Genomic DNA, 12,789 nt, shown 5'->3' with positions numbered 1-12,789 from the left:
AAATCTATAAAAGTTTTTAATTAAGAAGTAACTTAGTAGATTCATTGACATGGGCATTTTTATTTTCCAATTAATTTTATAGAGCAGAAGGAGAAATTTCAGATTTTCATATTTTGAAAACCCAGCAGATGGCAATACAGTTCTGGCTTTAAGATTAAGAACAACAACCAAAAAGAAAAAAAAATGCTGATGAGTTAAAGAGTTCCAAAACTTTTCACCATCATTGTTGTTATATTCAGAGGCAGAAGTATTCAAATTTCCACACTGGCCTAAAAATTTTTTTTAAAAGTCTTTATCTTGTAGGCATATAAGAATATGGCTTATTTTCAGAATTGCTCTTAAACTTCCCAAGTTAATTTCTAGAAGTAAAATGTGTTTCTTGGTGCATCTCTAGACTTAAGTTTATGAAAGTGGGGCAAGTGAAGGACAAGTCAGGCTGAGAGGTGCAAGTTTTTCGGATACCCTCCAGAAGATGGCATGAAACCCCGCAGGGGTGTGTTTACAGTGTACCCCCTAAGAATCTCTGACCCAAGGAACAAAGAGATACTGAACAGAAATAGCTATTAGGTTTCTTCATTGTTCAATGTCACAATGCACTGGGAATTTTAAGTGCTTATCTTACTTTAAAATGACTTTGGTTGGTAAATGTACTCTACAGAATGGAAACCTTGACTTAAGCCACTATATTTTCAAATAATAAGCTTATGAGTAAATGAAGTGGCTGCTAGATGTTGCAGATGATGTGATAAGCTTTCCAAAATTGCCCCACATGAAATTTCAAAATTTAAAATGCTCTAATTTTACAAATGATTGATTTGCAAATGAAATAAATATTCCTATGGCAGTTGAAGAACATACTTATAAGTAAGAACCCCAGTGGCAAAAAGGCCTATTAAATATTTAAACATTGTACATATCTCATCAATTGGAAATTAATTTCAGTTATTTTTTAAAGGAAATGTCTCAATAGAGTGCCTGCCTGGTTCAAGTCCTTGTACTGATGCTCTAACGTGTATAAAAGCTGATTTATTTTGTGATGGAGAAGTAAACTGTCCAGATGGTTCTGACGAAGACAATAAAATGTGTGGTAAGTTCTCCCCCCTACTCTCTCCCCTTCTGTTTTATCCTCCCTCACTGTAGACACACACACACACACACACACACACACACACACACACACATTCTAATCTCAAATACCTGAAACTACTGAAGAATGAGCTATTTAAATAGCTATTTTTAAAATATAATACAAAATCTTAAAATAATTTTATTAATATTTTCCTAAACTTTATAAATAATATTAAAGATATTAATTAATTAAACAGAATTCCATTTGATCACTACAGAAAGGAAGATGTGATTAACAATGTCTGTCATAAATGTGGGGATGGGTGTTGCTACATTTTCATCTCTTCTCTATATTAAACTAATCCAAACTATTATTAATTTGACTTCTGTGATAGACATTCTCACTTCTTACTAATGGTTTTCATGTTTTTTCACTATCATATCAGTCTTTTTCTTTCAACATTTTAACAGTACCTAACTCACTGAGCACCATATTAAAATTTTGACTGTTCCTTTTATTTGCCTCTTGTAGTTCTATAAATAGTAGAAATAAGATATGAATAAGAACTTAATGCCTCATAAGTAAAACTTCTGTGTTTCATTTGTATATTTTGGCATTTTTTGAGTGTTAATGACAATAACATTATTTTACCATTATTATTACTATTTGACACTTAAGTAGCAGTTACCATATACCAAGCATGGCTCTAGTTGATTTAAACGTATTTACTCTTTTACTTATTTCTTCATTTCATAGCTGGATTCCACTTAGAAAAGTTTACTAGAAAGCAGCATCTAAGTAGGTAATTTGTTTCTGTGTGTAACACATTTAAGAAGATTTCCACATAGAACTACAGTAGTTCTCCCTTATTAGTGGTTTCCACAGTTTCAACTACCTGCTGTCAACCACAGGACACACAGTAAATGGAAAATTCCAGAAATAAACAATGTATAAGTATAAAATTGCACATCATTCTGAGTATTGTTATAATTGTTCTATTTTATTAGTGATTATTGCTGTTAATCTCCTATGGTAGGTGTGTATGTATAGGAAAAAACATAGTAGATATAGGGGTCAGTACTATCCATGGTTCAGGCATCCACTGGAGGTCTTAGAAAATATCCCCTGTGGATAAGGGGAGACTGCTGACTTTGGATAAGTCTAACTGATATTTTGTTTTATTTAACAGTATTAACTGCACATTTTTTGGTATGGCTTATAATCAGTTTTAAAACTGACTATAAATACAGTTAGTGCCCAAAGTGTGTTAAAGACCATAGTTACTATTTGCTACACTTTTCTATTATTTGTTACACTTTTCTCATCTTGCTTGATAGTAATTAAAGATGAATATTCTAATAACGACCAAAGTTTTAAAAGCTACCTATCCACTTAGTACACATTTTAAAAGCCAGGCATTTGGTCTGTTTCCCGGTACCAACTCAATGAAAGGCAACTCTACTACAGAGATTTCCACTAAGCAATCCCGATGCAAATGTTCTTGGATAAAATTCAGACCTTTAAAGTTTAACTACAGACTTTGAAGTACACTCAGAACATATTGGAAGAAAGTGCAGGCTGCGGAATATTTTTAATCTATTTTATATAACTAAGTTACTCAAAGAAGAAGAAAGCAATGTTCTTGCTTTGCTGTGGCTTTCAGGCATTTTCCAAAATCTTTTCAGGGAGAATATGATGCAAGTGTGCCATCATGAGGTAACAAAGGTGATGCTGATTTCTGTTTCAAAAACAATAGTGTATGTCAACTTAGACACATGGCTTTAAGCCAATATAATGATGATCAATATCCTTAAATAGAGGAAAAGGCATAACTACCAAAATATATGAATCAAATAATTGAAAAATGTACTGTACCTATTATTTTGTTATTATGCTCATGGAGTTCATAATTTTCATGATGAACTAATATCAGTGCATATAAAAATGAACCATAGGAATATCATGTAAGTGTGATAATTTGTCCTAAAATAAGTTTTAATGCTATGAATCATTTTTATGAGCCACTCTAAACTCAGGAGATGAGCCTCAGTATTAGAATGGAAGTAATTATCTTAATTTGCTTTAAAAATATAGTCAAACTGCGTTGTTACTTTTTAGTAACATGAAGATTTTTTGTTAATTGAACCTTAGTAGTGACCAGCCTTTCATGTCACTAACTCTCTCAAGCTTACACACCGTCACTTTCCATTTTCTTGATTTTCTTTTTTTTTTTTTTCGTTTAAGTAAGTATTATATCTATTTTGGTAAATAAATTCGAATTATTTGTGGGATAATATTGTTTAAATCAATCAATGAATCTATTTTTATCCAGAGAGAATTTAAGAGTACAAGTTGCTTTATTCATTTTAAGTTGCTTCATTCATTGATTATGGTGAGCCCACAAGCCTAATGACTTTCAGCACCAGCTCAAACTTCCAGCAGCATTATTTCCACCTGAAAGCCACTGTCCATCAATCTATATTCATGGAAAAATTTATAAAACTAATTTAAGAGAATTTTTCCAATATGAAGTTTACCTTTACTCTCTCTCTCTCTCTTATTGATTTATTTATTTTTTTGCTCCAGCTGTGAGCTCTAATTCTGGTTTGTGTTATTGATAGTCATACTAACATTGTCTTCCTCATGCAACTTCCTCTTTTACTCTTTAGTTATTTAGGTTTGCACACTTACAGCTGACTATAGCTGAAACAAGATTTCTTTAAATTGTTTTCGTCTTCTGATTAGAATTACATCAGCAGGAAAGTTCACTTTTTAGCTGACCTATGAAAAGGAAAGATGCTGATTCACAGCCTTTAAGCCAATGCTTAACTCTTTGGAAGTTGGCAAGTGTTCTCATAGTTTGTATGCCTCACGTGTATATGCATAATACAGCTTGGTGGGTGAGCATAGATCATGTTTGATTTATATATCCTGGAGATTTGAATGCCATGAGCAAAGACACAATTAGTGAATATTCAGCCAGCAGAGGGAGTTCTTCGTGGGTCCTAAGTGCTTACCCTTATGTGTTCCATCCTATTACAGGCAACATTTCTGATAGTGCAATCGAATGGCTGCTATAATTTGACAGGCTCATTTATGTTCTACTTAGATTTTTTTTTCTGATGCTGCACTAGAAAGCACTGCACAGTCTAATAAGTCACAATCCTAAACACCCAGTCATCCTACTCATCCACAACTGGGTCATATATTTTTTCCTGAAAACCTATCCTGCTTCATTCATGGTCATTTGCACTATCAGGTTCTCCAGAAACATCCTGAAATTAAATGAAAAAAATGTATAAGAAAGTGCCTTACACAAGCCTCTGTCTTGAGAAGATAATATTTTGGCATTCTGAGCGTTGCTATTAGAAATACTTCAATACTCCTGTAATTTTATTTTAAATACATTTAGGAATATTCTCTATATTTGCTTGAATGCAGGAATTGACTAGAGCCTCGTTAGAGCAGAATTTGACCTGTGGAGTATCCATTCCCACTAAAACTTAGTAACATGATAGAATACTGGACAGGAAAATTGATCATATTCTTTAGGACAGGCTAAATACTATGATAAACAATCTTAACAATAACAGTTTATTTATCACCTATATCACGGTGCAAGAAAGATGGCAAAGGGTTGTGCTCTAGGCATTCAGGATGCCTGCTCCTTACTTGCCACTCTCTCTGCCCCCAGAGTCCTCTACTGGATCCTTCACAACCAGCTGACTGACAAAGGAAGAATGTTACAGATATGTTCAGAAACCATATTTGGAAATAGACACAGTGACTTTTACAATCGTTCATCGGCCAACTCAGTCACATGACCTTATCTGACTCCAAGGGATTTGGGGAAGTGTAGTTTAGTCATGTGCTCAGGAAAGAACTGAAAGAGGGTTTGTCAAACATAGAACCATCTTTGAAACTAGAGACGTAACATGGCTTTCTGGAAATCATGAATCACATTGTGCAGCGCAAAGCTGTTGATACCTTTCCCAAAAAAATGCGTAGTGAACAGGTGGGAAAAATGACTAAAATTTTATCAGCTTTACAAACAGGTTTTTACAGATGCTTAAAGGGATCTTGTTTTGTTCCCTTTCTCTCTCTGTGTGTGTCTCTTTTGCATCCTCCTATTTGTTCTGGAATATTATTGCAAATGTGATCTGTATTCTAACTTTAAGAACATTGAAAAAGATGGAAATCTTTAAAAAATTTTCTGTTTCTTCTTTTATTTATGCTTTCCCCCCTGCTTTTCAGTTCAAAGAGTGGGTGATGTCATTGCGATAGTGATAGATGTATATATATATTGTGATATTAGGCAATATACCACAGTATGCTCTAGAATAAGGCTGCCTTGCTTTAAATTGTTGCTTGTAAGCTAGGAGGCCTTATGGTTGTTATTTAACCCATATGTGCCTCAGTTTCCCCCATAACATCATAGAGTTGTTATGCAAATTACATTCATACATATATAATAACTTTAGAAAATGACCGGCACATAGTAAACACTCTATAAATGTTGGCAGTTATATTTTAGCACTGATAAGATTGAGCACCCTACCTCATTGCTTCCTAAGTATTGTAACTCAAATATAAACTTTACAATAGCAGTAGACTTTACTACACTGTCTACAATCTTTGAGTCCATGTTATTTCTCGACAAACTGTGATTTAAAAGCTTTATATACCACATAAAATGCAAGCAAATGCCATTTTTGTTTTTATGGTCTTTGAATGTAAGGCATTAATTGCCCTGCTTGTTTGGCATGGTTTACAGTGGAAAAGAGCGTTGAAGGTGAGAAAAGAGATTTGCTTTTACAACTGGAAAATTATTTAGCAAGTCATTAAAAAGTCACATATTTTACTATCTATCTTCAAATCATGACAAATTAGCCTTAATTTTCTTTGTTTGTTGCAGTAATCATTATGCATAAGGCAATTCAGTTAACAAACCACTATTTTTCTTTCTTTCCTGTGATCTGTGCCGGATTGTTCAGAATTTAATCCTTGCTTCTTGACTTGTTATCTTTTCTTTTCTTATTTTCGTTCTTTTTTTCTTCTGGAAATCAGGTTACCAAATCATAAGCTAATGAATTAATTCCTAGGCCATTGTTTTTAAGCAGACTTTGAATAATAAACTTAAGTTACCAAAGTAAATTTTTATGCACCTGAAAATATATATATACCAAAAAAAAGCAAAAACCCAATAAACACATGATATTTTAATCAAGATTTCTATTTGCTATCTAATTTTTAATGTATTTATTTTATATACATAAAATATTTTGTCATAAAATAGCTTGTATTATGTAATTTGATAGAATCACTTTATAATTTTACGATGAGCTTTTTCATAGCTCAGTTTAGAATTAGCTTATTCTAAACACTCAGATTCCAAACACAGCAAATTAATTTTGACATATTACTTTGATTTTTCTAACCTCCATTAATGTTTCTCCGTATGAAGAATTTTTAATCTATGCAGAGAAAAAGACACATTGTAAGGGTCATAATTTTAGAATATTGTGTCAACATAACCAAGTAACTAACTAGAAGGAAAATAATGTAAGAAAGACTAAAAGTTGTGAAAATCAAGGTGGATTTTTGCATATACTATACATAGCAAGTGTATGAAAAAAACAAAAATCTCTAAGTTATGGCTCCTGGTTCATGCCTTCAAGAAGATTTTAATCTAGTTGGAATCTATTCAGATATAAATTAAAGGCAACTAATAATGCATGACATTAAGGAGAGATTCATGAAATAAATCTACTATGAAAACCAAAAGAGGAAAATGAGTAATTATGGAAAGCAAAAGGCTTAATCAGGAGTATTGAATGAAAATATAGAAAACATTGAACTAGTTATCTCCCAAAGGAGCAAGAGTAATGAGCTTTAAAAGATGGACTAACAGATTTGTTGGATGGAATTCTGTATAGGCCACTAGTACTAACATTTTCCTGGCCTTATTCTAATCTTTTTCAAGAAAACATAGCACTTTGTACATATATTTGAAATTCACCTAGCTCCAATTTAATTATAAAAATAAGACAAAAAATGACTGGTTATTTGTCTGAACTGGCAGTTTTCAATTCAGATATATTTATTTCCTTGCAAATATGGAAGAATACACTTAAAGTGCAGCTTAGGGAAGGGTGTTTAGAAAGACAATGCTTTTGGGCATGGCGCAGTGGCTCACGCCTGTAATCCCAGCATTTTGGGAGTCCTAGGAGTGCAGATCACCTATGGTCAGGAGATCGAGACCAGCCTGGCCAACATGGTGAAACCCCGTCTCTACTAAAAATACAAAAATTATCCGGGCGTGGTGACCGCCGCCTGTAATCCCAGCTACTCCGGAGGCTGAGGCAGGAGAATCACTTGAACACAGGAGGCAGTGAGCCGAGATCGCGCCGTTGCATTCCAGCACACGCAACAAGAGCGAAACTCTGTCTCAAAAAAAAAAAAAAAAAGGAAAAAAGAGAAAGAAGAGAAAGAAAGAGAGAGAGAGAAGGTAGGAAGGAAGGAAGGAAGGAAGGAAGGAAGGAAGGAAGGAAGGAAGGAAGGGAGGAAAAAGAGAGAGAAAGAGAAAGAAAGAGAGAAAAGGAAGGAAAGAAGGAAGGAAGGAAGGAAAAAGAGAGAAAGAGAGAGAAAGAAAGAGAGAAAAGGAAGGAAAGAAGGAAGGGAGGGAGGGAGGGAAGGAAGGAAGGAAGCAAGGGAAAAGGAAGGAGAAAGAAAGAGAGAAAGAGAGAGAGAGAAAGAAAGAATTTTTCCAAAATATTTCACGATAGGATGTGTATGAGTATTTGAACATGGCTAATAGGTTTCAAACATGAAATCTTACTATCATTTCAGTTTCATAAAATAACCTTGTACAGGTTTTGCCATGAATATTCTGTGAAATGTTTTGCAGCCAATTTGAATCCCAAGATTGTTTTTGTCTAACATTAATTGGCATCGTTTTGCAGCCACAGTTTGTGATGGAAGATTTTTGTTAACTGGATCATCTGGGTCTTTCCAGGCTACTCATTATCCAAAACCTTCTGAAACAAGTGTTGTCTGCCAGTGGATCATACGGTAATACAAGATCTTATATTTTCTGTTCTTAAGTCATAAAGCGTTTTTCTGATGCAACGTCTTATTGCTTTCAGTAGTTTTTTAAAGAATCATTGTTTTCATTAACTATGAAGCAAAAACCTCCCAACTGAAAAACTGTACAAAAAACTATACTATCATTTTTAACCTTTTAAAAAGCTATTCTGTGCTATGAACAATACTGTCTAATAAGTGGGGTCATCTCATTGGGTTCTGAAGCAAGTTTATTTTTCTGTGGTGGACATTATTCATGTGCGGCCAGGCAAACAACATACATGTATGTCTGTGTATCGTGAGAAGTAGAATTTCGCATCTTCTGCATTTGTCTATAAAATATTTTCTTTCTCATTTTGCTGCTTACCATGTGGAAATCTCTAAAGGTGTGATTCAGTTACAGCAGATTAAGAGCAGGGAACAGCCTCTATACATGTCTTTCTTACTATATCTTGAAAGACATTTGGATCAGTCAATATGTATTTCACCTCCACATTCTTAATTCAATTAACCAACCCAATCATGAAGATAATCAAAATAATTAGGCTGCTGATAGCTGATCTACCTTAAAGTTTACCTAAGCATTTTCATAGACAAGGAACACCTTAAGTTCCTTCCGGATATTCCAAGGATAAAAAGAATTTGTACTCACATAAATATAAGAGATCCTGAAATAAACTTATTAAAACTCTTAAAAGTAGGACTTCTTATAGCCTTAAATATGTTAACATGCGATGTAAGTCTCCAATGAAAACTTTCTTGTTAAAATACTGAATATTTCCCCAACAGAGCATGCAGAATAAGTGCTCCATAGAATTCACTATGAAAAATTATATTCTAATTAGTTCATTTCTATTAATAGCTAGATGGGATTATGGTTTACCAGTCTGACCTATAGTATAATTTTAATCATTGTGATTATATTATATTGATGATGATTGATATTGATGATTATATTTATGATACATTATATTGACATATAATAGCTGATTAAAGAAAGTTAAAAGTCAGAGCCTCAGGTTCTTGCCAAACAGTATGAAATGGCCCAATAACTAATCACCCAGGTAGACATATCCCAGAGAGGAGATGTGAGAAAAAGATTGTTCTATACACACTTACTTGGCATTGTTCAAGGAAAGAAGAGTATCCCTTTATTTTTTATTTCGATTTGGAGTGCAGCCCCTTGAGAGATATGTAATACAACTAAAAACACAATTTCCTTTGTTTCCTGCTCTAGATAACATGCTATTGGTGTGTCAAAAATAAGACTATGAATTAAAAATGGCAGTTCTAAGTAATTCTTGCCAATTGAAAAATTAACCAAGTTGGAGAATATTGTTTTCAACCTACATTTGTATGTGTTTATATATCTATATAAAGCATTTTTCTGATGCAGAAACACACACACACACATAATCACTTCAAACTTAAAAGAAGCATTTATAAATGTCTATTAGCATTGGTCATTAGGAAAATAAAATATTAACTCTAGCACTTATTTAAAATGTCAATAGAAAGCTGTAGAAAATCTTAAATATCTTTCACTGAAAATGGAAAGACTGTAACTAATCTGCATAATTGGGTACACAACTATTTTTTATGCAATCTTTGAAATTTTATTAATACCAAATAAAAATAATTTAATTGCTAAGTTCACTTCTTAATAAAGACAGGTCACATTTAGAGGGTTTATGAGCAGAACACACAATAAACTTCTGCTGTAATGATAATGTCCTTTACGCAAAAATTATCCTATATTAATTAAAAATGTTATGGCCCTATTGTTTTTAGTTTCTTTCCATTACTTAATTTTTGAAACTATTTTAAGAAATCTATGATTGATAAATGGATTATTTTAAAAACCTGAAGAACCTAAGATGTTACCCCAAAACAGTGTACTTTATGCTAAAATGATGATTTAATTAATCACACAAATAATCTATTTTTTCTCAAAGTTGATTATTATATTAGTGATGCATTGTATCAAATAGTTGTTTTCTTTCCCAATAGTGATCAGATGAGACTAAAGACAATAATTTTTCTATAAGGTTTAAGATCAATTAAATATAGGAGAAATGTTTAAGATGCAATTAAACTATATTTTGAGCAGGACCAGCTCATCCTTTGAATTACATTAAGACCACAGTTAGCATACAGCCAATAGTTAAGAATATAGTTATTGGAGACAGTTTGTGTGGGTTCAAATCTAACTTCTTCAGATTAAGATCTTCAGATCAAGATCTTCACACATCATCAGATCAAGATGTGTGATCTCAGGCAAATGAGTAAACCTCTTTGACTCCAAATTTCTGTGTCTGTAGAATTCCACATCTCTAAATACTATGTTCAAAGAAGTCATTATTAAATATGATAATGAATGTAAAGTGCTTAGCCACATATTAAATGCTCAATAAAAGTGGTCTATAAAAATATTAACTACTGACACAATAATACAAAGTGTATAAATTAAATTTAAAGAAATTTAATTTAATCCCTTCAAAAAATCAGAAGGTAACTGAAATATCTAATATTATAACAAAATCTGATTATGTTCTCCAATTAATCTTACTTTTATAAATCCCTGTGGTTTTATTGGAAGTGAGTTGAATTTTCTGAATCAGAAGGAGGTGGAAAATCGTCTGCACTTTTTTGTCTCTTCTACCTCCAAATATCTATTTTGGAAAAGCAGAGGTCCTCTGAAAGCAAAGCGTCCTAGGGGGCTCCTCATGCTTGCGTTCCTTAGATTGACAGCTTGAAAACATCAGATGAAAAAACACTCACCATATTCTTGCCCAGGCACACCAGAACTTTAGTTAAGAAATCATCTCTCAAGTCTGCCTCTTTCTTCCATCTCTGTCTATTCCAGCTTGACTCCAGATTCTCTAAAGGTCTCACCAGCAGGCTCACTCCCCCAGTCCTTGAACTGACATAACAGAGGCAGAATTTAAACAGCTTCAAACTTAGCTTTACTTTCCTTCTCTGTCTACTCTGGGATGATCTTCTGCTCTCTCACCTTGATCCCCTTACCTCTGCCGGTGGTTACCAGACATGTCTTAGAGTAGCCATGAGTGTAGCATCTCCTGCATTTACCTATCATACTTCAAGGGCCCTCAAACCTAAGAGCTCATCATAATCGCCCTTGGAGCTTCTCAAAATATACATTCCAAAATACACTCTGGAACTGCTGAATCTGATACTCAGGGCTGAAGTCTATAGGTTTATGCTTTGGGTTTGTTTTTTTTTTAATAACCTACCACCACTCTAACTTTATCTCCCTTACAGCAAACACCAGTAGGTCCAAAAATCTGAGTTTCTGCTTAGTTGTCTTTTAATGCTGCCCTGCTAGTAGCTGCCATTGCACTAACACCAACCCCACTACTTGAAGACTAAACTTCAGCCCTGAACTCCACCCCACTGGCCATAATTATAGTATGGTGTTTGATCAACCTGAGGTCTTGCCACAAATGAACAGTTCTCAACAATGACTTTTAGACTTTCAAAAATTAACTAACTCTGTGAAGAATGTCCTTGATTGCCTTATTGGCCACATTACTGCTGGTGGTGAACCTAAAAGCCAATCTTGCCATGTCCCTGCCTGTAGGCCTTGTTCACTCAGTATCCTCCATGGCCAGAGTCAGAGGCCAGACCACTTCTCAGGGCTCCTGCTTGGCCTTGGAAACTAAATCTCTTAAGTATTACTAGCCTTTTTAATCCTTTCCTGGGTCCATTTGCAGATGATCTAGCCAAACTCATGCCCAAGGAGCCTTAGATGTTTTCTCCCGTACACACTTTTATTTCTTTTAGCCATCTCCCTTCCAAGGAGTTCAGAGAAACTTGGTACTTACAAAGCACTTGGAGGAGTTATTTACATTTCTGATTATAACACTTTAATGAGACAGTGGAGTTGTAAATAGAGGTTCCACTAAGTCTCCCCTCTCTGAAACTATTATCTGAAAATGAAAATAGTTTAAATATCTAATTTAAATTTTCTGATGAACCTGTCACACTTTTCCTTCTATGCTCTTATACCAGCAGCTAGATACATTATTTTTTTATATCAATAGCATGCACTAGTTTCTACAAAGTATTAGATAATACAGGAATGAATGAATTAATCCCTGTCCTTGAGTCATATAAATTCTGTTAGGAAAGACATTTAAGTATGTAAATAACAATTATAGAATATGATAGCTGTCATCTTGATGGTATGAACAATATACATGAATTGGACAATTTAACATAATTAAAATGTTCATACTACCGAAAGTGATGTACAGATCAAATGCAAGCCCTGTAAAATACCAATGGAGGTTTTTTACAGAAATAGAAAAAAAATCCAAAAATGTATATGGAATCACAACAAAACCTGAATAGCCAGAACAAACTGAAAAAATAACAAACCTGGGGTCTCACACTTCCTGATTTCAAAATATATTACAGAGCTATAGTAATCAAAACTGTAACGTACTGGCAAAAAGACAAACACATAGACAGAATAGAAAGCCCACTATAAAGCCTCACATATATGATCAAATGATCTTCCACGAGGGTGCTAAGACAACACAAAGGGGAAAGGATAGTCTTTTTCCACAAATGATATCGAGAAGACCTGAAATGGTGCAGCTGCTATGGAGAAC

The 12,789-nt window shown here is 33.8% G+C and overlaps 1 protein-coding gene across 8 annotated transcripts in view; it reads left to right on the top strand.

Annotated features, from left to right (window-relative positions):
• Positions 1-12,789, top strand: part of TMPRSS15 (transmembrane serine protease 15) — a 216,769-nt gene that overhangs the window by 112,605 nt on the left and 91,375 nt on the right. For all 8 annotated transcript variants that reach the window (NM_001428057.1, NM_001428056.1, XM_047440913.1 and 5 more), the window contains 2 exons: positions 956-1,087; positions 8,032-8,140. In NM_001428057.1, coding sequence (NP_001414986.1) covers positions 956-1,087; positions 8,032-8,140 — 241 coding nt within the window. The remainder of the gene's footprint in view (positions 1-955; positions 1,088-8,031; positions 8,141-12,789) is intronic.

This window comes from Homo sapiens, chromosome 21, assembly GCF_000001405.40.
Source record: "Homo sapiens chromosome 21, GRCh38.p14 Primary Assembly".
Classification (NCBI taxonomy): domain Eukaryota; kingdom Metazoa; phylum Chordata; class Mammalia; order Primates; family Hominidae; genus Homo; species Homo sapiens.
The sequence above is the reverse complement of the archived record's forward strand: the minus strand, read 5'-3'. Positions and strand labels throughout refer to the sequence as shown.